We start from the raw sequence: 26129 nt of genomic DNA on the forward strand, positions 1-26129 counted from the left end.
AGTGGCTATTAATGAAAAATTTTTAAAAAACAGATGCTGGCGAGGTTTTGGAGGAAAGGAACGCTTATATATTGCCAGTGGGAGTGTCAATTAGTTCAACCATTATGAAAAGCAGTGTGGCAATTTCTCAAAGAATTGAAAGCAGAACTACCATTTGACCCAGCAATCCTATTTCTGGATATATGCCCAAAGGAATATGAATCGTTCAATCATAAAAACACATACATGTGTATGTTCCTTGCTGTACTATTCACAATAGCAAAAGACGTGGCAGCAACCTAAATGCCACATTGTCTCTTTATCAAGTCTAAATGGTAGACTTGATAAAGAAGATAAAGGATAGCCATAAAAAAGAGCAAGATTATGTCCTTTGCAGGAACATGGATGGAGCTGGCGGCCATTATCCTTAGCAAGCTAATGCAGGAACAGAAAACCAAATATTGCATATTCTCACTTATAAGTGGGAGCTAAATGATGAGAAGACAAGGACACAAAGAGGGGAACAAAAGACACTGGGGCCTGCTTGAGGGTGGAGGATAGGAAAAGGGAGAGGATCAGAGAAAATAACTATTGAGTACTAGGCATAGTACCTGTGTAACAAAATAATCTGTACAACAAACTCCCATGACACGAGTTTATCTGTATAAAAACCTGCACATGTACCCTTGAACCTAAAACAACAGTTTAAAAAAAGAGGAAAAAAAAAGAAATCATTATTCATGAGAGAAAGATAAAATCACAAGGAGATATATTTTTATTCTACTAGAATAGCTAATTAAAAGGGCTAACATCACTAAATGTGGAGGAATTAGAACTTTCATACATTATTAGGGTGAATGTACAATGGTACAACCATTTTGAAAAGCAATTTGCCAAATCTTTACAAATGTAAACACGGAACTCTCCTATAACAAAGCAATACCACATTCCCATATCTGCAGGAAAATGCTTGTGTAATAATGTTCATAGCAGCTCTCTTCATAATTTCCTATAACTGAAAACAACACAAATGTCCATCAGTAAGAGAATGGAGAAATATATGATGCATTCCTACAAATAAATACTTGTCAGTAATAAAAACAGCCAATAACCAACAACATGGATACATCTCAAAAACATAATCTGTTCAAATAAAAAATACATAAATAGAGTATGTGCTATAGGATTTCATTCATGTGTAGTTTAAAGAACGGGTAAAACTAATTTACAGTGGCAGACATCAGAATAGTGGTTGCCTCTTATTGGGGAGAGGATTAGTGAAGAAGAGGAAAAAAGGGTTTTCTAAGTCAACATTCTTCATCTCAAACAGGGTGTTGAGCACCTGGGTACATGCATTTGTCAAAACTCATGAACTATAAAATTAAGATTGATGCACGTAATTGTGCAGTAAATTATGATGACATTAAGGGAAGAGAAAAAAACACACTTAGACCATCTACTAGGTCAGAAAACCATCCTCATCTCTGTTATCTTGAGTTATGCTCACCTGCATCAACCAACAAAGCCCAGCAGATGAAATTAAATATTGTGTACTGGATTTCAACACTGTTCATAAAATAGAATAACAGCAACATAAGTGGCTTAAATTTGTCATCATCTCATAAATGTTTAGTCGTATTCATTAAATAACTCTTTTGAATCTTTCTAACTAATTTAGAAAAATGTAAATTACAAGACATGCACAAAGCTTCTTCCCTCTCATATTTTCCTTTTGCTCAGCCTTGGCAAAAGTGTTCCATTCTAAGGCCTGATGTTGAGAGGTGAAGCCGGCTGGGCTTCTGGGTTGGGTGGGGACTTGGAGAACTTTTCTGTACAGCTAAAGGATTGTAAACACACCAATCAGCACTCTGTCAAAACGGACCAATCAGCTCTCTTTAAAAAAGGACCAATCAGCTCTCTGTAAAATAGACCAATCAGCTCTCTGTAAAATGGACCAATCAGCAGGATGTGGGTGGGGCCAGATAAGGGAATAAAAGCAGGCCACCCACGCCCACAGGGGCAAACTGCTGGGTGGTCTTCCATGTCTTGGGAGCTTTGTTGTTTTGCTATTCACAATAAATCTTGCTGCTGCTTGCTCTTTGGGTCCGCACTACCTTTATGAGCTGTAGCACTCACCGCCTAAGGTCTGTAGCTTCACTTTTGAAGCCAGCGAGACCACAAACCCAGCAGAAAGAAGAAACTCCTGACACATCTGAACCAGAAGGAACAAACTCCGGACACACCATCTTTAAGAACTGTAACACTCACCGTGAAGGTTGGTGGCTTCATTCCAGAAGTCAGCGAGACCAAGAACCTACCAATTCCAGACACAATGTGAGCTGGGGTCACTGGCTGGTAGCTGAAGGTCAAGTCGGCTTCCACTGGAATTCATCCAGCTGTTTTCTCCTGGAAAGAGGAAATAAGCTAACGCTGACACTAGCCCATCTTCATTTCAGTTTCAGGAGCCAACTGAACACAGCCGTGGACTGTAGCCACCACATCTGCAATATGTCCAAAGCACTAAACCCCAGAGCGTAATGACACCTCTGCAGTAGCCAATACCCCTAGTACATTTTTGTAAATGTCCCCCTAGCAAACGGGCTATTCCAGAACCAGACAATACTGCCATCAAGATCTGTATGTCATTATTAGCTGGACAAGAGAACAGAGACAGTGGCTATGTCTGTTGTCTAGCAGGAGGAAGCAAATAGAGAAAAGGGAGGAGAAGAAAGATAAAGGGATTTTAGTTTTTGTTTATACCAGTTATCAAGACTCTATCACCAGTGATTTTATTTTATTTTAGGAAAGTCTAAAATAAAGGCCAGGGCTGCTCTTGAACAACTGGCCTCAAGGGCTCCACCTGCTTTGGCCTCCCAAGGTGCTGAAATTAGCAGAATGAGCCACCATGCTTTGGGCACACCAGTGATTTTAAAAATGCATTTGGCGGCGGGGCGGGGGGCAGGTGGCTCACGCTTGTAATCCCAGCACTTTGGGAGGCCAAGGCGGGCGGATGACGAGGTCAGGAGATAGAGACTATCCTGGCTAACGCGGTGAAACCCTGTCTCTACTTAAAAAAAAAATATATAAAAATTAACTGGGCGCCGTGGCGGGCGCCTATAGTCCCAGCTACTCGGGAGGCTGAGGCAGGAGAATGGCGTGAAACCGGGAGGCGGAGCTTCCAGTGAGCCGAGATTGCGCCACTGCACTCCAGCCTGGGCGAAAAAGCGAGACTCCGTCTCAAAAAAAAAAAAAAAAAAAAGAATGCATTTGGGGCAAGTTAACCATAAATAGGTTAACTACAGAATTAAGATTTCCTCAACTGTACTGACCATCTCCTCTGCAGGAGAATGCCTCCTGAAACTGTGTTTCTAACTACCTTTAGAAACTTTAAATACTGCCAACACTGGCGCTAGGGTCTTCCCTGAGGCTTTTTCATTCTCTTTAGCATCCTTAATACATATTTAAAGAACACTCTTTTAACCTTTCTCTTTAGCAGTTCCATTCCGGATGCTTCGCTCCTGAATTGAATAACTCGTCTAGGACAACCTTTCCGTCTGTGAGCATTTGTAATAGAACGTTTTCCAAGCAACACCAATGCCTGCGTCCTTCGGTAAGGGAGCTAAAAAGAAAGAGTACCGCTGTTTCATTCACCTGTGTCCCAGAGCCGCTGCTCAGAATCTCTCTCTGCCTCTCCAAGGGCAACCTGCTTGTCCTCAGAGGGATCCTCCTCCCTGTTGTACTCAGGATGTACACATCCAGGACTGCAGCCACTTTTGCTGCTTGAGAGACCTAAGTGAGACTGCTTTACCCCACCCGTGAGCAAGCTTCTCTCTCAAAACTTTACCTCTTAAATAAAAATGGATCCATGAGCTGTGCAGCTGCTCCAGCTTGGGGCTCCTGTGTGACCCAGCAAATAACCAAACTCAACTTTGGTTTGCTGAGCACTGTCAGGCATTCATCATTCTCAGGAAAAGGGACTCAGATAGGATCCCAAATCTTTGATTGCCTAACATAGCCAAAGCCCAATAAAATCCTGGGAAAAATAAATGCAAGAGGACACTAACGGCAAAAGCACATTCTGCAGGACTGAGTTCTAGCTTTGGGCCTAAATTCTAGCTCGGCTCTAACCATTGTGAGTTTGAGTGATATATAACTAGACTAGGGAGGACAAATTAGTGAGCTGCATGCTCTGGGACCTCCTGAAACACCCCTGGCAGACACTGATGATCCATAGTGACCCAGATGTGGCCTCAGAATCCTTCCCGACACAGCACTTTTTGGTACCGGAGAGGAAACCTATCTACAACCTTGCACTAGATTAAGCGTAGACCTAAGAAGCCTGTCCATTGGCCTCTGTCCTAGTCTTTGTTCTTTCTTGTCTTTGGAGGGTGGGCAGGTGTTGTAATGAAGGAGGTCTCTTCTCTCCAAACGAGAGGCATTCTAAATCCCCTTGTAGCCCTAGAAGAGAATTCTTAGAAATTCTTAAAATTAGGGATACAAAAGGGCCTGAGATTCACCAAACAATTCTCCAAGTAGAAACAAGACTTTTTAATGCTTTACCCCAAACTGTGTTCTGGATCCATTTCAGATTGCTTCCTCTCTCGGCTAGCACTGGCAGGAAGGGTCATAGTGGGAGGGAGGATTGGAGTCTCCACTCATGTTCAAATGTGTAACTAATTGTAGGGATTTGCATTGCCATTGTTACATGAAAAAATATTGTTATATCTTCATTTTAAAGATTAGAAATCAGAGGCAAAGGTCTTGAGGTCATAGAGCCAGCAGGGGTCAGAGCTGGACTGAAAAATGCCCATGGCCGGGTGAGGTGGCTCACACCTGTAATCCCAGCTTCTTGGGAGGCTGAGGAGTGAGAATCCCTTGAACCTGGTTGCAGTGAGCCAAGATCCTGGCACTGCTCTCCAGCCTAGGTGATGCAGCAAGACTGTCTTAAAAAAAAAAAAAAAGCCCATGGTGCGGGTCCCTTGCTTCAACCTTCTCCTAGGTAGTCCCCTTGACAAGAGGACTAGGAATCAACAATGTCTGTGGATCACAATAGGACTGGGCTTAACAGTAAACTGAATGATAATGTGGGCTAATGAAAAAGCCCACCACCTCCTCACCACTGCTCCTTCCGCACAACCTCCCCTCACATACATCTGCCTCAGCCCCAGTGCCCTGGTCCCTGGCACTCTACAATAAAGAATTCATCGTTTTGGAGTAATCATAGCTTCCACTGGCCATTCTTTTTTTCCCGTCAAGATACCCCTGAAAAGAATACACTTCCTTCATCACTCTCACCTTAGCATGGTAGTAGGCTGACAGAAGGCTTTTCTCTAGCACAAAACTTACCCCAGCTTTAGGGATGCACTAGCTACCTTGTTAGAAAAAAGGAGAGTATCTCCTACAAAGGCAGAAGGAAGCTTGGACTTGACAGCTGGACAGAAAGAGCTCCACCCCCTAATACTCACTCAGGTGTGGTCATCCCCCTGTGGTTTCACTTTTCTTGTTTTCAGTTAGCCATAGTTAACTGCCGTCTGAAAATATTACATACAATAAGATACTTTGGGAGAGAGAGAGAGACCACATTCACATAACTTTTATTAAGTATATTGTATTATTATAAGTGTTCTATTTTATTATTAGTTACTGTTGTTCATCTCTGCTATAGTTTGGATGTTTGTCAAGTAAACCTCATGTTGAAATGTGATTCCGTATGTTGGAGGTGGGGCCTGATGGGAGGTGTTTTGTTCCTGGGTGTGGACCCTTCATGAACAGACGGATGCCCTCCTTGGGAGTGGGAAGACAGTTAATTGTCTCTCCGTTAATTCTCAAGAGAGCTGATTTTTAAAAAGAGGCCGGCCCCTCCCTACCCTCTCTTGCTTCCTTTCTTCATGGGATCTGCATATGCCAGCTCTCCTTCCCCTTCTGCCATGAATGGAAGCAGTCAAATAAACCTCTTTTCTTTATAAATCGCCCAGCCTCATTTATTCCTTTACAGCAGCACACATGGACTAAGACAGTTCTTCCTGTGCCTAATTTACAAATTAAACTTTATTATCCATATGTATGTGTAAGGACAAACATAGTGGACATGGCATTTGGTACTATCTATGGTTTCAGGCACCCACTGGGGGGTCATAGAATGCATCCCCCATGCTTAAGAGGGGCTTCCTGGACTAACAGCCTGGCCTTTTCTAGATGAGCACAGATTGGCCCAGGGCAAGGAAGATGACTCATAGATTCTACTAAGTCTTGAATCTACTTGTCCATTTTAGCTCTCCTCCGTGGTGGGGAGTGGGTAGTCCTCCTCAGAAAACAAAGGCTTTCCAGAAGACAAACTTCCAAGCTTGTTACCTGAGTTTAACCCATCCTTTTTCTTATGCTTTCTGGCTAAAGTGCTAACAAATCTCATTTTCATATTGATTTACTTGGCAGAAAGTTCATTATGAACACTGATAAGCCAGAAATTCAAGGAAAAAAAACTCAGCCTCTTCCATTATTAATTAAAAAGAAAAAAAATTGGCTGAGTGTGGTTGCTCACATTGATAATCCCGGCACTTTGGGAGGCTGAGGCAGGAATTATCACTTGAGGCCAGGAGTTCAAGACCAGACTGGGCAACATAGTGAGACCCTGTCTCTGCAAAAATAAAATATTTAAAAAAAAATGAGAAAGAAATAAACAAATTTTAAAAACAGAGCCGACTCTGGTGCTGAAATCATTCCTAATTCTCAGGTGACAAAGGGCCTGGATGCAGTCTGGGGACATATCAAATGAAGGTGCGTGCAAGTGACACTAAAGCTCCAGGACGTGATGCAGATGTCCGCATAACTGGCTGGGACAAAGAGCGCATCTGAGCCTCTGCAACTCTCTCATCTCAGGACCTCTCAGACCCCTTGGAAGAGGAAAGGTGAGTCTCACATCCTGTTATATTAAACCTATTAGCGTTACTCACATGACACTATCATTCTCTTCAGGTTCTGACAGGAAGGAAATCTTTGTAAAATGTGATATTTATGGGTCAGCTACTTTCTTCCTTTTTTGAGACCCCGAGTATTTTCCACTGCTTCAGCTACCTGAGCATAGGCCAAGGAGCAGGCTGGGTGAACATGGGGAGTGTTGGCTGTCCGGGCAGAGTCAGGTATTGTGATGGATGAGCCTTGGCTCCTGTTCCTTGGAGTTAAACGCTCCTATCTTGTTATATCTGTTCTCTTTCCACCCTCCTGCTCTGTCAGTAATTCCTGTGCTGTGCCCGTGATAGGTGTGCAGGTCTGTGACCATTTTCTGAAGTTGTTTTCTTGATCTTCTTTCCCCATTTATTACTAATCAGTTCCAAAATCCTTCAAGATTTTCTTTGCTACCGAGAGATGTTTACCTTGACAACCACATTTTCAGGCTATATCTCCAAAAATAGATTTACAAAGGAAGAAGACAGAGAGACCAAGGCTAGCAAAGGGCTTCTTACACTGCTGAAGATATTTTTAAATGTCAAATCGCCAATGGACAAGCTACTAGAGAAGGAGGCCGGGAAGGAACATCAAGGGGCTTTAGGGGGGCTTGGTGGAGGCCACAGAGAACAGCAGGTGGAGGGGCAGGACCAGGATCTGAATCCCGAAGACCTGAGCTTCCCATTCTGAAAACAGAGCTCAATAATAACCTGCCCTACTTTTGTCAGAAAGCATCGTGTTAATTATTATTACTGGCACAGCCTATGGAACCATACTTCTTTTTTCTCATCTGTATGTTTACAGTGCTCTAGAAGAAAGAGTCTAATTTGATATTTATTGCCATCTTTTAAATAACAGATGATGAGAGATAATATCATATTTCAAAACTAAAAAGAGGGTGAACTTGAGCATCATGACAACATCCAAAGCACTTATTACATTTTACTCCTTTCCATCTCTGAATATCCTGTGGACAGAGGGCAAGAATAATAAAAAGTAAACTATCTGACTAGATTGGACATTTTCTTAAATTGCGGTTCCAACCATGTCGCTTTCCTGCTCAAAACCCTGCAAGCTGAAATCCCTTCATACAGGACTAAGCCCTCCCGTTCAGCTTTTTATTTTACATCCTAATTGGATGACTTTATAGGTTCCCAAGTTTACTCTGCCCCCTCCCAACTTCAAAATCTTCACCTGTCAAAACCCTGCTAATTCTTCAAGGTCCATCTCCAAATCCCTTCTTGATTCCTTCTCCTTGATATAAATTCTATCTCTCTCTGTTCCCTTAGGGCATTTGTGGGTTTTGTGTGTGCATTCGTGTGTGTGTGTGTGTGTGCACTGAATCCACTGTGCATTATAGTAACAATTATTTGTACCAGGTATGCCGGTGTCCGAGTGTAGGTGCCTTCCTAAGGGACAGGTGGATTTGTTCATTATTTGGCTGCCTCTTCAATTCCTAACACTGTTGGTTGTGCAGTGTTCCCAGTATTAAATGCCTGCTTACTGAGTCCATTTGTCAAATTATAACTGAATGGGGACCTCATCCCTCCACGTACCCCACTTCAAAGTTAGGAATTATCAGTTAATAACTTGGAAACTATATGTTTCATGTTTGAAGAACAGAATATTAATTCTGAATGGATGCACAAAACATCCTGTCATTTTTCTATTTGGAGCAGTCACCACCCTGACCCAGCCTAGATCGTGACTTTTAATGCTCTGACTTTATGTTTTAATAGCCCCATCTCTTTCTATTTTAAAGTCTGAGATATTCCATATTAAAAAAAATCTGGGACAACTAGAGAGAATTGAATTTGGGCATAATGGAAAAGGACTTGGTAAGTCCTCCTTATGCAAAATTTAACTGAATTGGAGTTATCCCAGATATCTATCAGTGTCTTTTATACTCAAAGAAACTGCCACCGACTCTGTTACTAAATATGTGCAGCAGGAAGGCTGAAAGACCAATGTGACCAGCTGTCCTTTCTGCAGTGCATTTGAATGAAGGCTGTTCTTTCCTGAGCAGCTGTAGATGCTGTTTGCTGAGCGTGTTGCTATTTTTGATACTGCCTTCTTCAAAAGAAGAAAAAGGAAAGAAAGAAAGGAAAAGTCACACCATCTTTGACAGCCCCATACCCAGCTGCTCTCTGTGCACCTTCCCCAGGCTTGGGACTATAAATCAGCAAATATTCCTAGATTTTCTGTTCCATTTTCAGCTCACTTTATAGCGATTGCTACTAATTGAATCTATGGTCGTACATTTGTCTCACATCTGGATCAGCTGAGAAGTTGTAAGCAATGTTTCAGTAGAGCCGGCTCACTGGCTGCATTCCAGGGCTTCATTTTTTTGTTCCCATCTAGCAGCTTATTAACGGGTATTGGTTTCTGGGTGACACTGGTTAAACTGCCCAAAAAGATTCATGTGAAGTCTGGAGGCGAATCTGTCTCCTGGCCACATGGCTGCAGGTTCCAGCATTCTGTCAGCATTTAGATCTTCTCCAGCTTGACGCTTCACTTGACCTGGCAGAACCTGCACAGGCAAGGCCACCATCTTGATTGATCTCTCTGCGCTGTGGTCTACTGATTAGACAACTTGCCTCTTGGGAAGCAGAGTACAATGACTGCTTCCAGATCTTTATTAGCAAAGGAAATCTTTGGCTTTCTGCAGCTGCGTGTGTACCCTCTATTCCCCACAGCTCACTCCCCTATTGTGCTGACTGGCCAGTCTAACATAATTGCTTGCAGAATCCTCCTGGCTCTAGACATTTATACCTCTGGCCTACATTAACAGATGTTAGAGAACATGCACTCCTGCCCTCCAAACCCTCCAGCATCACTAGGGTACCTTGTTCAGCAGGGCCCACTACCCCTCAGCAAAGCAGCTCAGGCCTTCCAGCTGTGACCTTCTTAGCCAGCTTCAATATTCTTCTCATCTGTCAAGGACTTCCTACAAGAAAACAAGGCCTCTCTAGTATTTCCCAGTAAACAGTGCTCAATGGAAAACATTCTAAATTATTCGTATGAAACTTATAAACTGACCACAGTGTAACTGAAATAAACATACAAGATCCTTCAAAGGAAATCCTACTCCTTCACCTCTTCATGGTGAGGTCTCTGTGGGGTAGGGGCTCATGGTGAGGTCTCTTTGGGGTAGGGGCACAGGCGTGGCTCTGAAACTTGGTGTCCTGAGCTTATCACCAGCCTCTGTCTATTGTGAGCTCACAATCTTTGGAAGCTATTCGTCTTCTCTCTTTCAGTTAAGTCATCTGTACAAGAATAATAATAGTACGTACATTGTGGAGTTGGTACGAGAAATAAATGATTTAATATATGTGCATATTATACAAATAAATATAAATTAATTAAGCTATGGAAAATTCTCATTTACATAAACAATTTGTATGTAGTTTATAAAAATCTACTAAATCCATAGTTTTCAGAGTGTTTTAGCTGGCCAAGATGTTGCCAGCACTACCAGATGAATTGCTTTGATCAGTTTTTATGATCCTCCCTCCCCTTCCTGGTTGTGATCATGATAAAGATTTTTTGAAATCCTTGTCTTTCCTCAGCAGCTTAAAGGTCAAGGAAAAAATTATGTAAAATAGTTAGGCAGCCTCTTCCACCTATGGTTTTAAAATATCAAAGGCAGATTGTCTACCTTTGTGAGCCAATTTCTGTATATGCAATAGTTGTTACTAAAATATTAGTGTGCAGAAAGACATACATTTCAATCAGATTTTAGTGAGCATTTGCAAATGCACTTAAATATGCTGGAGTCTACCATTGTCTTCGTGTGCTTGCCATAAGTCAAATCAATGAGTTACACATCAGCATTTCTCCTTTGAATGGTGGTAGAAAAGCATATTTCTTATATTTTGTGAACACAAATCAACTAGACTGTCGTGATTGCTTAGGCCAAGAAAACAATCACTCATGTTTATTAAATGCCAGAACTATGCTGAAATGTTAATGAAGAAAGAACTGAGTCTGTACAAACAAGAATACATAGCACTGTTCTTTGAGATAAGTGTTTGTATTAGTGGAAAGTTACAATTTAGTGGGGCCACATGATTTACAACAATCATAATTTTATCAGTGAAGTAACTGAAGCCCAAAAAGATGAAGACCACAAAGCTAATTGTCCTTTAACCAAGTTCCTTCCTTTCAACTGCACTGCTCAAGTCAACAAAACAGCTCTCAAATAGAAAATACAGCCAGTGTGAAGTGCTCAAAATAGACATCTGTAATCCTTATTAGGTGCTTGCCAAAATCTCAAATATATTAGATGAGTAAATAGAGTGCAAAGCCTGAAGGTGATGAAGTAACTTCTACTTTAAATCTGATCTATTTAAAAATCTCTGTTTTTCTCAGGGGGAAAAGAAAATCTCTGGCCAGGTTTCCGTGGCTCATGCCTGTAATCCCAGCACTTTGGGAGGCCGAGGTAGACAGATCACTTGAGGTCAGGAGTTCGAGGCCAGCCTGGCCAACATGGTGAAACATCGTCTCTACTAAAAATACAAAAATTAGCAGGGTATAGTGGTGGGCACTTGTAATCCCAGCTACGCGGGAGGCTGAGGCAGGAGAATTACTTAAACCAAGGAGGCAGAGGTTGCAGTGAGCCGAGATTGCGCCATTGCACTCCACACTGGGTGACAAGAGCAAAACTCTGTCTCAAAAAAAAAAAAAAAAGACTGGTTGTCTTACCTGGCCAGAGCACCAAGATCTACATTGTTGGGCTTTACTCACATTCTTTAATAGCATTTCACAGTAGGAGAAGCAGGAAAAATTAAAATGTAGAAATTGGTCCTGCATTGCCTCATGTTGCTAATTTGATGTGATTCACTAAGCTGCTGTTTGGACTGCACTTTAAATGAGATCAAAACTCACCTTCAGGATTTCAGGCTTATCCTCAAAACCCCCACCACTAAATAACTTTCTAAAATGATCTGAATGGTTTATGTTATGGCTTTTGGTATAGGGTATGAGGAAGATAATAAATACTTCTCAGGCAGTATTTCTGTACAAACCTCAAGCTAGCGGTAAGAAGAAAAACAGAGAATCTTTATCTATGTCTGAATGTGCAGCATATTAAAATATTTTGTCACTTGAGTATTTTTCCCCTACAGCTTGTGGATGTTTGCTTTTTTAAAGTAGAAATTATAGAAATATCCAGGGAGAAAACACAGTTCACAGTTCCTTCTTTGCAATACATATTTGCGTTTTTGTCTTGGAGTGAAGCCATCTTATAATTTATATAGTCTTCATCTATTGATATACTTTCACTTTCTACCTCTGGGATTTCTATCTTTCATCACTATATTAAATCAATTGAATGAAGATTCTTTTGATTCTAAGAACTTACTCTAACTTATAATAAGTTCATATTAGCTCAACTCAAAAAAAAGGAAATTTGTTGGTTTGGGCCTATGGGAAAGCCAGAGGTAGACTGTGGCTCAAGCAAGGCTGGATCTACAAACTGAAACAATGTGGACAGTTTCTCTCTCTCAATTATAATTTCTTTTTTTCATAATTTCTTCTGCATGTTGGCCTGATTACCTCTTCGTGAAGATGTGCTTACTCTATTTTAGCAGGATGAAGGGCAAGGTGGAACCTCAGATTTACATGCCAACTTGGTATCACTGGTAGGAAGAGACTCTCTCTTTCCTTTCTACAAATAGCAGTCCAGGGAATGGGCTCTGAATGGCCTTCTTGAGTCAGATCCCCAGTAGATTAACATGTGCTGCCAAAGGCATGGGTGACTGTTACACATGCAGCCTGGGTCACATGCCCACCCTTCAGATAGAGGTTGCAAGTGGGGCACCATCGCTGGTATTTCCATCAGAACCTCAAGGAATGGGTAAGGAGTTCTGCAAACAAAAGGGAGTGCCGAAAGCAGAAGAAAAGATAGGTGAAAATGTGCTAGGCAGACCCAAAACAGTAACTGGCGTGTTCGGCACACTTAGCTTTGGCTTTTTTAGCAGGGTTGGCCTAAAGATGAGACACATGACCCCAGTAGGCATGCTACACTGCTGCTAGTGACCAACCCACCATCTGAGGGGCATCGCCTTCTTCAGCACCTCAAGTGTTCTTTACTCTTGTCCCTTATACAAGCTCCCACTTTATTCTCTGCAGGAGTACGGGGCAGCTTTCCTGCCAAGGGCCAGGAAGTAGACCGCTGAGGTGTGCCAAAGGCGATACAATGGCTGCTGGGAAACATGTATAGTTATCAGAGCACAGGCTTTGGTATCAGAAAGGACACACATTCAAATTGTAACGAAGAAACAGGTTAGTTGCTTTCCACATGAGAGTCCAATTAACAAGAGCCAGGTCTGATACAAAATAAGTGAATTCATTCTGAAGTTAGCTTGGGGAAGGGGCACAAAATGTTCCGCCTTTAAATGTGCCACTCCACCTCTGGAGCAGAAAGCAGGCACTTATATAAGGTTGCGAAGAAAATGAGTAAGGACAGGGGTACACCTGCTAGCTTGGTGTCTTATCTACTGGGCAGTTGAGGTGGTGCCTTCCTGGGCAGAAGGAAGCTGTAAAAGTGTTCACACGGGCATGCTTTCCATGAGCCCTCCTGATGGATGAAAGTTCCGAGGCAACCCCATGGAGGTGAGAGTTCCATGGCGGCTGTGCTTTAGTCCAAGAAGAGATCTGTCTTGGAGCACACAGAACTTGACCTGTATGGAATGTCTGTGACGGGGCAGGTAAAAGGCTATACTTGCATTTCTGAAGGGCTAAGTAGGAAACAGGGAGCCCAGGAATACGAAAAGAAGAGGGAGAGGAAAAAAAAAAAGCCACCTCTAGAACAATGGGGGCACTACGTTACAAAACCCCAGCTTGACAATTTAGCAATTTTGTGACTGATTTTTCTGAGCCTCAGTTTCTATCTCATTGAGTTGTCAGATCTGGTTGAAATATTATTTGTAAAGCATATAGCATAGCACCTGGTGACAGGTAAGCTCTTAATAAACAGTAGCCACCATTATTATCAAAGATATTATTATTATTTCCCTCCTTCCACTTCTCAAGCTAGGAATAAAGAGCAGCAATTTGGGATGATGGAGCCCTCTTGAATTAGGAGCTGCCTAGTACAATGACATACACAATGTGATATAGGTGCACAAAGCTTTTTCATACAATAGCTTTGTATTCTCTCATTTAGCCTTCAAAGCCCCCACTGAGCTGGATGCCATTAATATCTAGTTTTCAGGTGAGGAAGATGACGCCCAGTGGGACTGTGATTTTATTAGGTCACATAACTGGTAAGTCACAGAGACAGGATTCAAACGTAGGCTTTCTGAATCCAGATTTTGTTCTCTCTTAATTATACCACACTGTAAAGACCTATTTTTCTGAGAGCCCAGCGTGTGCCCTGCTAATCAGATGGCATAATGGGCAAGAACAGGGCCCGAGAAGACCTGGAGAATTCTCATTGGGTCACCAAGGTTTTGAACGCTTTTACCAGGGATGGTTCCAGAAGGTGATAATAGCTGGCAAGCTGTGACCTGTTGGAGGGAAGAGAGGAGAGAAAAGTTAAGAAGAAGGAAAAGAAGCAGAGTGGAAGAAAGAAAGGGATTAAGGTTGGGGTGAGGAAAATTAAAATCTAACTGATTAGAACTAGCAAAAAGCCAAAGTAATTTTTTAAACCTTAATGTACTTTTTGATTAAAGAAAATCTTTGCTCAAAGGCAAGTATTACTTAGACAGCCTAAGAAAGGAAAACAAATGATAATGCCCATTATTTTTGAAATGAATTATAAGATTTGTCTGTGAATCTTTTAGATTTTAACCCTTGGGATGTGATATCCTTAGGGATTTCAATAAACACAGACTTATTTCACTTATTTATTTCATCCTCCTTTCCATATAAAATCCCCCAATTTTAATTTATATATCCTGTTACTCAAAGTATCATCCTCTAAAACACTCTTTATCCAATATTGACATGGAGATTTCATTTTTAATTACTATTCTAAACCCAATTTTCAGCTTCTCTGTTTTTCTCTGATATTTTCACCTTCTTTCAGGAAAGTCTTGAAGCTGTCTTGAAGAGAATGGCAAACACGTAGAGATGAGGCATGCAATATACACTTGAGATCTATAAAACGCCGAAAGATGCATCTATACGATGAAATCACAAACCTGTCATCTGATCTCTTCATTTTTATTCATCTAATTTTTATCTTTTGAGTTTCAGCCATTCTCTTCCCTACATGTGCAGGCAAAAGTCAGAGAGTATGCATGTATGAACAAAAGAAATGTCATAGAGGCTTCAGTCAGCCATTCCTTTGAGCAAAACTGTGCTGGGAGGAGGAAGGCAAGACTGAGGCCTTGGACCTCTGCAGCAAGCAGTTCTACGATAACATGGGAGCGGAGGCCCTGGCTTACGTAATTTCAAAGTAAATAGAGACTAAAAGTGAACTTCCGGTTTCCGATCCAGGAGGTAAGAAGCTTGGAAATCATTTCATTCATCTACCCAGCAAGAAAAAAAGCTGAGTGAATGAAAACTAACAACTTTCTTAGATCCATCAGATAACTAAGATCACAGGACAACCCTCCGCTCTTCAAATTAGAGAGGCAGACGGGCAGATGGGGAGGATCAGGACTTAGTGGCACAGGAGCCCAAACGCAGAAACCCTCAGGGGAACCAGAACCGGAGTTAGAATTGACTAATTGCTGGAGGCTCAGTGCAGACAACGCTGAGGGTTAAAAGCTCCAGGGGGACCCAGTCATGGATGGAAGGAGCCCACACTTTTTTGAGTTTTACCTCCTTCTAGGAGCCCTAGCAGGTTCTCATGGTGAAGATGAGAGAAAATTCCCCTCATGTCTCCATGGGCGGGGTGGGAGTGGATGGGCTGAGGGGGTTGGGGGTGCTTTTGAAAAACTCCAGAGCACTCTGTCCTTATAAGTTCTGCCCTCAGGAGACACAAGCCTGGGAGCCTGGCTGAACTGGGGGAAGGGAAACACAACTCCAGGCCTCTCTTGCCTGCCTCTTCTCACCCAGGGGAAAACAAAACAAAATAAACAAGACAAAACTGAGAAGCACTTGTGAAGATCATACCCCAGGGACACAGGCTCAGGAAAAGACTGAGACCCAGTCCTTAGGATTAGCAAAACTAAAACATATCAGGAGAGACAAATGTTCCAATAAAGTTTCTTTTGTTTCTAGGATTTAAAATCCATTCATACTTGCTCAAATATAATGAAAAAGTCTTCTTTGAAAGGAAGCAGAGAGGTCTTATAAGAACTCGGTGTAACGGGGCAGGGGGTCAGGGGGGGGGGTGGGGGAAGTGTCTCTGAGGCCAGATAAAGGGCACTACTGGAGCCTACATGGCCTGTGCCCTCAGCCTCCCCTCTGTGACTCTCCCTCCCTGTCACCCTCACTCCCTCCTCTGAGCCTCACTGGCCTCCTGGCTGTGATGCCAATATGCTGGGGGGCCCTCTAGCTTAAAGCATTGGCAGGGACTCCCTCTGCCTGAATTGTTCCTCCCCATCTATTAGCATGACTCACTGCTTCTCCATTCAGGCCTTTACTCAAATGTCACCTCACGAGCGTTGACAGAGGCCTTCCTTAAGGATCTGATGATGTTCCTTGTTCCTAGCTCCCTTACCCAGCTTTATCTGTCCTCAGAGCCCTTATTAGCACCCACTTGAACAGTAGCCCCTGCTAACCCACGGTGGGTTTGTTCCAAGAGCCCAGTGGATGTCTGACCAAACCCTATGTACACTATGTTTTTTCTTATACATACATGCCTATGATAAAGCTTAAATTGTACCTTAGGCACAGGAAGAGATGAACAACAACAAATAATAATAAAATAGAACAATGACAGCAGGTTCTCAAATAATGTCATTTTGTTCAATGTTGTTTTATTGATGATTTTAAAAAATCAGCTCCTGGCCGGATGCTGTGGCTCACCCCTGTAATCCCGGCACTTTGTGGGGCAGAAGCAGGTGGATTACTTGAGGTCAGGAGTTCAAGACCAGCCTGGCCAACATGGTGAAACCCCGTCTCTACTAAAAAAACAAAAATTGGCTGGGTGCAGTGGCACATGCCTGTAATCCCAGCTACTCAGGAGCTTGAGGCAGGAGAATCATTTGAACCCGGGAGGCGGAGGTTGCAGTGAGACAAGATGGTACCACTGGACTCCAGCCTGGGCGACAGAGTGAGACTTTGCCTCAAAATAAATAAACAAATAATAAATAAAAACATCATTTCCTGCCAGATCCACTGCATGGATGGAGTTTGCATGTTCTCCTCATGTCTGCCTGGTTTTTTGCCAGGTTCTCCAGTTTGCTCCCACATCCCAAAGCTGTGCCCTTTAGGACAACTGGCATGTCTACATGGTCCCAGTGTGAGTGAGTGTGGGTGTATGTGTGAGTGAGTGTGGATATGGGCGAATGCAGTTGTGTGTGAGTGCACCTTTGTTGCGGGAAGTCAGGGACCCCAAATGGAGGGACTGGCTGAAGCCATGGCAGAAGAACATGGATTGTGAAGATTTCATGGACATTTATTTGTTCCCCAAATTAATACTCTTATAATTTCTTATGCCTGTCTTTACTGCAATCTCTAAACATAAATTATGAAGATTTCATGGACACTTATCACTTCCCCAATCAATACCCTTGTGATTTCCTATGCCTGTCTTTACTTTAGTCTCTTAATCCTGTCAGGTGAGGAGGATGTATGTCACCTCAGGACCCTGTGATAACTGCGTTAACTGCACAAATTGTAGAGCATGTGTATTTGAACAATATGAAATCTGGGCACCTTGAAAAAAGAACAGGATAACAGCAATGTTCAGGAAATAAGAGAGATAACCTTAAACTCTGACTGCCAGTGAGCCGGGTGGAACAGAGCCATATTTCTCTTCTTTCACAAGCAAATGGGAGAAATATTGCTGAATTCTTTTTCTCAGCAAGGAACATCCCTGAGAAAGAGAATGCGCCCCTGAGGGTAGGTCTCTAAAATGGCCCCCTTGGGTGTGGCGATCTTCTATGGTTGAAACTGTAGGGATGAAATAAACCCCAGTCTCCCATAGCACTCCCAGGCTTATTAGGAAGAGGAAATTCCAGCCTAATAAATTTTGGTCAGACCGGTTGCTCTCAAACCCTGTCTCCTGATAAGATGTTATCAATGACAATGGTGCCTGAAACTTCATTAGCAATTTTAATTTCACCCCGGTCCTGTGGCCGTGTGATCTCACCCTGCCTCCATTTGCCTTGTGATATTCTATTAACTCGTGAAGTACGTGATGTCTGTGACCCACACCCTATTCGTACGCTCCCTCCCCTTTTGAAAATCCCTAATAAAAACTTGCTGGTTTTGCGGCTTGTGGGGCATCATGGAACCTACCGACATGTGATGTCTCCCCCGGACGCCCAGCTTTAAAATTGCTGTCTTTTGTACTCTGTCCCTTTATTTCTCAACCCAGCTGATGCTTAGGGAAAATAGAAAAGAATCTATGTGACATATTGGGGGTGAATTTTGCCCGATATCTGGCTGAATTTCCCCCGTGAAATACTGGGGGTGAATTTTGCCTGATATCTGGCTGAATTTCCCCCTATACACCTTGCGATGAGATGGCACCCTATCCAGGGCTGGTTCCTACCTTGCACCCTGAGCGGTTGATAGGTTTAGCCACCTGCCACCCTGAACTGCAATAAGTGGGTTGAAAAATAAATGAATGAATACAAATGGTTACCATGTAAAAATATTGTAAAAAGTATACAATAATCATGCAAATACACAACAATATACAATGCTGGACGAAAGCAAGCCACCATGTTTATGATAGTTTTTTTTTCTTTTTTTTGACAGAGTCTCGCTCTGTCACCCAGGCTGGAGTGCAGTGGTGCGATCTCGGCTCACTGCAGGCTCTGCCTCCCAGGTTCATGCCATTCTCCTGCCTCAGCGTCCTGAGTAGCTGGGACTACAGGTGCCTGACACTACACCCAACTAATTTTTTTCTTTCTTTTTTTTTTTTTTTAAGGAGAGATGGGGTTTCACCGTGTTAGCCAGGATAGTCTCGATCTCCTGACCTCGTCATCTGCCAGCCTCGGCCTCCCAAAGTGTTGGGATTACAGGTGTGAGCCACGATGCCCGGCCTTGTGATGGTTTTTGAACTGCACGATGTGAGGAGGTGCTCCTAACAATTTTTTCTTCACAAACATTTATTCCTTGATTTAACTCACCACCACTTTGACCTCTGTTGCTCACTAATTCACCAAAAATTGAGTAAATCATTTTCTTATTTGTTATTAATCATTCTTTTTTTTTTTTTTTTTTTTTTTTTGAGACAGAGTCTCGCTCTGTCGCCCAGGCCGGACTGCGGACTGCAGTGGCACAATCTCGGCTCACTGCAAGCTCCGCTTCCCGGGTTCACGCCATTCTCCTGCCTCAGCCTCCCGAGTAGCTGGGACTACAGGCGCCTGCCACCGCGCCCGGCTAATTTTTTGTATTTTTAGTAGAGACGGGGTTTCACCTTGTTAGCCAGGATGGTCTCGATCTCCTGACCTCATGATCCACCTGCCTCGGCCTCCCAAAGTGCTGGGATTACAGGCGTGAGCCACCGCACCCAGCCTTAATCATTCTTAAATGTATGTACAGCTCACATTTATTTCAATGTTTAATATTAGAAGTGTTCTGGGTCACTACTTAGTTTGGTGACTTTTTTAACCAGTAATGTGTTGTAGCAACTGAACTCTTGCTTATGTCATTTGCCATGGGGAAAATGGTTTTCTTATAATTAATTTTGCTCCAACAGCTATTGTAATAAACATGTAAATGGTCTCTGTCTCTCTCAAAATATCTTCCTGTACTGTACTCATCCTTCTGCTTATGAAAGGGTGAAATGATCAAATGCTTACCTGATGAGATGAAGTGAGGTGAGCGTTATAGGCATTGTGATGCAGTGTTAGGCTACTGTTGACCTTCTGCTTTGAGTGATTCTGGTTCCTCGAGCCTTGACAACGTCAATGGATGAATGTCAGGATCAGGCGATGTTGATGGTGGGGAATCCTCAATAGTAGAAGGTTTTTTGGTTGAAACTTTCTGGAAGAACACTGTAATCAGAAGGTGTTGTCTCTTTTTAACTCATCAAAGTGTTTCTGCAGAGGTTTTAATCCTTCATTGATCATATGGGTGACTTTAATGCTGTGTTCCATTTAAGAATCATATTCCACAATTTTGTCCTTTAGAGTCTGTGCAACTCAAAACACTTTGGCAAATTTTGGTAATTTTCATATTGCTGGTTCAGCTTCAGTTCTTCTTTATCTTCCTTTTCCTCTGCAGAGGACTCAACAAGTTCTTCCAATTCTTCATTTGTTAATGCTTCTCAGTGGCCTTCAATATGTTCTTTCATGCTTCCAAGCATGTTGGCAAATCTTTCTTCACCAACTTGTCTTGCTTCACGAATGGTCTTCCTAATTTCTCTGATGCTCCCCAGAAAGCCTTTTAAATTATTCAGGTCAGCACTCCATAAGTCTGTCCAGTAGCCATTTACAGCTTCTGGTTGTAATCCATTCATTGCAGCTTTGATAAATGCTGTTGCATCAGCACTGCATTATGTTCAGATTGGTGTTTGCATTAATTGCTGATCATGTGTGATCAAATATCAGGCAGTTGTATATTGACTTGACAAATCAAATGATGCCCAGGTAAATGAGCTGAAGCAATAAGATTGTATTTGGAGGTAAAAATATGACCTTGACTTTTCATTTTCACAGCAAACAGATTCAGGATGGCCAAGTGCGTTGTCTATTATTAATAGGACTTAAATTTCAACCCTTCCTCTTCCAAGTATTTTGTCATTTCTGGGATGAAGCATTGGTGGAACCATTCCATAAACAAGATGGCTGTCACCCACACTTTCTGATTATGTTGCCAGAACACAGAGACATAATTTTTGTTTTTTGAGAACACAAGGGTTTCTTGTTCTGTACACTATGCTTGGCTTTGTTATATGCCCTGCATCATTGCTACACAGCAGCAGAATTGATCTGTCCTGCCATGTTTTATGCCCCAGTGTCTCTGTTGTAGGTCCTCTTAGGCGTTTTCTTCCAGAAGAGCCAGTTGAAGCCTTGCTTTGGATGCTAGTCTTTCTTCTTAATCAACTCTTCATTGTCAGACACAGACTTTCCTGTAATTTTTATAGTTTTCAGTTTAAGCCCATTCCTGAATCTGTGTAACCATCCCTTACTCTCTATGTAACCATTCCTTACTTTTAATAAATGGCTTGGTGTCACTCCTTTTCAAGGACCCCTTGCTGAAGGCTTCACATAGGCTCAGTGCTTTCTGGAGCACATATTGCCATCAATTGGAACATGTTTTATCTTCATGTATTCTACTCTCAAAATTACAACCATAACAGGCCCATTGCCCGATGCACGTGGCAAATCAATATACCAAGTCATGGGGTTGCTGCAGAAAAAGAAGTTTAATTATAGGGTCACTGAATGAGGAGTTGGAGAAAACTTCAAGTCCGTCTGCCTGAGGAGTTTGGCACTAGGGTTGTTAAGGATTTTGGAGTGGGCTGAAGTGTGGAGATTGTTGGCTGGCCGAAGAGGACAGGGTGAAGTCATGGGACAGGGAGAGGAAGAAATTGTATGCTCATGATGTTTCCTTCCTTTGTGGGGATCTGCAGACTGGGTGGCATTCGCAGTTTTGCTACAATTTGGGATCCAAAAAACATCTTAAGCAATTCTTAAAAGCTTTATGAGTCTAACATAAGAAATCCTATCTAGCTTACACAGAACTCTTATGATTCTAATGTCAGAGATCCTACCTATAGGAACAATGGAAATGCAAATGGTATCTACTGGGCCAAAGGGCAGCTTGATTAATGCTTAATTATAACTATACTATTAATTATACTTCTGTCCAGAATTTTTGTTAACCCTGTGAGGATGGCTTCAAAATTTAATGCCTTTTCTATCTTAACAAAGCACTTATCAGACACTGTGGCTGTAACTTTTGCAGTTGAAGTATGACAACAAAATTAGCACAAATTTCTTTTGCCTCCTTTATAATTTCACAGATAGAAGATTTGCTCTTACTGTAAATCCTAGCAACCTCAGCATACAATTTTTTTTCTTGGCTTATTAAATTGAGAACTTTCACCTTTTCACTTAAAAAAAAAAGCAATTTAGGGCTCCTCTTTGGCATATTGGAATAGCCAGCCTCACTACTCTTTTGCTTTAAGGCCACTATTAAGTAAAATAAAGGTGACTTGAACACAAGCACTGCAATATTGTGACGGTCTATCTTATTACTGAGAAGGCTTCTGAGTGACTCACGGGCAGGGACTGTCTACAGCACAGATGTGCTGGACAAAGGCAGGATTCGTGTCCAGGGTGGATGGAGTGAGAGGACGCCAGACTTTGTCACACTACTGAGAATGGTGTGCAGTTTAAAATGTATTAATTGTTTTTCTGAAATTTTCCATCTAATATTTTCAGGGGTTGACTGGGTGTAATTGAAACGTCAGAAAGCCAAATCGTGGATGAGGAGGGACTGCTGTATATGCCTTTCTGTTTATTTGTTTTCTCTTTTCACCCTAGAATGGTTCACAGTAGACTCTTAGTAACTATTTGTGAAGTATTTGTGGAATAATTAAACAAATGGGTAAGCAAAGGCAGGTTTTAAGGGATACCAGAGTCTATCACCCCAAAATATGCCTCTTTGGCATATGAATTGTTTTGAGTGAAAGGCCATTGAGAACCAGCAGAGGAAGGAAAGATTCTAAAAACAGCATCTTCCTTTTGGAAAGGAAATTTACATTTATAAAGGAAATTTTCATTTTTAGAGAGATCTGCCTCTCTGCACTGGGAAGAGGGAAACTCTTAACAACTCTTAAGGATGAAGAAGGCACAGACTTAAATCAGCATAACAAAACTTACTAAACAACCCTGGTACCAGGGCACGGCAGATCACACCTGTAATCCTAGCACTTTGGTAGGCCAGGGCAGGTGGATCACCTGAGGTCAGGAGTTCAAGACCAGCCTGGTCAATATGGTAAAACCACGTCTCCACTAAGAGTACAAAAAAAAATTAGCCGGGCATGGTGGAGGGGCACCTGTAATCCCAGCTACTCGAGAGGCTGAGGCAAGAGAATTGCTTGAACCTGGGAGGTGGAGGTTGCGGTGAGCCGAGGTCGTGCCACTGCACTCCAGCATGGGCAACAGAGTGAGACTCCATCTCAAAAAATCAAAACAAAACGAAACAAAAAACAACTGTGGTTTGCCTTACTTTTCCTGGTCACCTTCCCATAGCTTGCTTCTTCCTCATCCAGAGGCTGCAAACCCCTTTTCCTTTAGCCTAAGATGGTAGATAAGCCTAAGTTCTAAACACCCCCTTTGAGCTACTCATCTCTGGGTACTGTCGTGTGTCACATGCATGATGTGCATGTTAATGAACTTCTATTGTTTTTCTCTTGTTAATCTATCTTTGCCCTGTCTGATTCAGTATAGAACCCTAGGTGGAGAATCTAAAATGGGTAAAGGAAAAGATTTTTCCTACCATACAGTACCAAGTCGGCTGTAGAGATGAGCTTGGATCTTACTGCTGCCTTTTAGCTTTGAGAAAGAAAAAAGCCTTTTATCTGAGGAATGCAAGCCCCTCTAAATTATCAGGCCCAGAGAGGCATTTAAAATGTAAAAGCGGTTATGTCTCACTTTCCCTGTGCTTAATAGTTACCTCTGGAAGCCACTTGCTTTGCAGGCTCTAAACTGATGCCTCGTAGCCATAAAATGCCACATACCCTGTAGTTCAACAATGTATAGCCAGTCACTAACCAGTGTTATTTCTGCAAACCTAAGAGAAGTCCTGGTGAACAGCTTTTGTAATCACTCTCATGAGTCATCCTTTAGTTCTTTAATGACTTGATCCTCGCTTTTGTTCTCTGGAGCACTCCCCAAGGCAACTTGGAAATGTGTCCTGGACTGCAGTCCTTAACCTTTGCGCTTGAATAAACTCTCTTTCAACTACATTCTGACCTTTTTGATTACCTTAGGTTGACATCTTCTCTCTGTGTGTTTGCTTAATTTCTCTTGTTCTCCCACCTAGCTTCTGACTCACTGCTCCCTATGACATTGGGGAGCAATCACCTAAAGACCTGCACTCAGCCTCAGCTCTGATGTTAGATCCACTGAAATGTTTATCTCCACCTGCTACTTTCCTAAGTCTCTTAGTTCAGGGTCATTACTTGTCCAGCAGGAGTTTTTCTTAGTTCTGGGTTTTCGTTTTTGGGGGGTGCGGGTGGAGGAATGAGGTATCACAGACTCTGTACCTACTTCTTATAGGTTGGGATTCTTCTGGAGGGAGTATGGAAGGAGAAGGAATGCACTTGAAACATGTCTTGTCAAGGTAAGATTTCAGTCAAAGGAAGGAACTAATATTTACTTGTGGAGCCCCTGCTAACTGCCAAGCACTGAGCTCAGCATATGGAAAGCAATTCACTCAACCTTTCTATCCACTTTCCAAGCTAGATATTATTCTCACCATTTTCACAGAGAGGTGCTTGTGGGAAAAGAGAGAGAGCTCTCTGGGGTCTCTTCTTAAAAGAGTACTAGTCCGTCACATCAGAGCCAATCCTCCTGACTTCATCTAACCCTAATCACCTCCCAAAGGCCCTACCTCCAAATACGGTCACATTCGGCATTAGGGCTTCAATACATGAATTGGAGTGGGGGTGGTATAAACACTTGGTCCGTAAGATAGGCCAATCCAAATAAAATAAGAAAGATAATTAATATGAAGATACCATTAGAGTGACCACCTACCTCCTGAGAGTCTGTTTCCTGCTTGAATCCATATGACTTCTGAAGGACCTGGCACCCAAAAAGGCAGACTTGGGAACTCAAATGGAGACTTCAAAACTGAAGGAGATCTTTTGTATAATGCCACTCAATTTAAAATTTTCCAATAGCGCTTTCTGCATAGACAAAATATGAACTGCTGTTCAAACCCAAAATGTTCCTCCAGGTAATTCAGCTGCTCTCCTTGCTCCAGTGTGGTCCACAAATCCTTATTGACTGTCATACAAAAGGTTTATGAACCAGGAAGAAAGCCTATAGCTCAAGAAGCATCTCATTGATAGGAAACATAAAGTGGGGATTTTCTCTTGTCCTGAAATATCCAAATAATCCATCCAAAAAGATGAAATAATAAATCTCTCACTTGAGCTCTTCGCTTTGCTTTTATCTTCAGATTTACTTCTCAATTGTCTCATCCTGGTACAACCAGCTCAGAATCAGACACTAATCTGTGTATGAATGATATACAGCAGGACAGGGAAGGGAATGAGCATTTTTCAAACACCTGCTCTCCACCACACTTTATACATATTTCGTTGTAGAACTACCGAAACCCTAAAGAAAGTGTGTCCATAATGGGTATACATAGGTGAGAAAACTGAGGCTCAGAGAGATGCAGCTGTTTGTCTGAACAATCCCTGGTTAGTCAGAATGCCAGCTGCGAAACCAGGGATCATGTGCCGGCATTTTTGCTACCTGAGCTGTTTCCCAGAAGCCTGTAACATTGAAATCGGCAGGATTTTAGTCACTCAAAATAGGTTGTAGTCTCTTAACAAGCCTTTGCAAAGCTTTAAAATTCCTCTAGGTCAGGATGCCAGAACAGTGCTTATTAGATCTCCCTCATCCAAAGGCTGAGAGAGATGGTTGTGGAGCTTCACCCATCATTTGCTCGTTATCATTGAGACTCCCAGGACTTAGGAGTGCATTTTGGTCCTTCAGGGATACTAAAGGTCCCCTGTGAGAGGCCGCTTTCCATCTCCTTGGCAAGATGCTTCTGTGCAGGCTTTTGGCATTCTGCTGCCTTGCAGTTGAAGCCTCTACTTCCTTTCTCACTACAGACGGTCCCAACTTACTATGGTTTGACGGTTTGACTTTACCATGGTGCAAAAGCGATATGCATTCAGTAGAAGTGGTGTGATAGATACTCTCTCACGATGCTGGTAGCATAGCCAGAGAGCTCCCAGTCAAACACATGGTCACGAGGGTGAACAGCTGATGCTCTAGAGTGTGCTGTGCTGCTGGATGACTTTCCCCAACTGTAGGCTAGAAGTGTTCTGAGCACGCTTACAGAAGGCTGGGCTCAGCTATGGTGTTCAGTAGGTTAGGTGTGTTAAATGCATTTTTAACTTAATGATATCTTCAACTTATGATGGTTTTATCTGATATAAC

At 42.4% G+C, this 26129-nt stretch overlaps 2 long non-coding RNA genes across 4 annotated transcripts, besides 1 other annotated feature; one reads left to right on the top strand and one right to left on the bottom strand.

Moving 5' to 3' along the window:
- Nucleotides 1-2252: 2252 nt before the first annotated feature.
- LOC107986886 (uncharacterized) lies at nucleotides 2253-10077 on the bottom strand. 3 transcript variants are annotated; one of them, XR_001745709.1, is made up of 4 exons: nucleotides 9986-10077; nucleotides 9767-9868; nucleotides 5445-5510; nucleotides 2253-2385 (listed from the first exon to the last, which is right to left on the bottom strand). It is a non-coding gene; the product is annotated as an uncharacterized LOC107986886 (long non-coding RNA). The 3 variants fall into 3 exon arrangements; XR_001745711.1 differs by having other exon boundaries at nucleotides 9961-10031; XR_001745710.1 differs by lacking the exon at nucleotides 2253-2385 and adding an exon at nucleotides 3514-3598.
- On the top strand, nucleotides 3511-18951 carry LOC107986887 (uncharacterized). Its single transcript, XR_001745712.1, has 3 exons — nucleotides 3511-3589; nucleotides 6710-6884; nucleotides 18920-18951. It is a non-coding gene; the product is annotated as an uncharacterized LOC107986887 (long non-coding RNA).
- Nucleotides 22622-23448: an enhancer, noted in NCBI's record as "NANOG-H3K27ac hESC enhancer chr8:55991285-55992111 (GRCh37/hg19 assembly coordinates)". NCBI's record gives its function as "activates a minimal SCP1, AML or CMV promoter by ChIP-STARR-seq in naive H9 embryonic stem cells {active_cell/tissue: H9 hESC(naive)}" and the evidence as "EXISTENCE:reporter gene assay evidence [ECO:0000049][PMID:30033119]".

The sequence above is a fragment of the Homo sapiens genome, chromosome 8 (genome assembly GCF_000001405.40).
Source record: "Homo sapiens chromosome 8, GRCh38.p14 Primary Assembly".
Lineage (NCBI taxonomy): Eukaryota > Metazoa > Chordata > Mammalia > Primates > Hominidae > Homo > Homo sapiens.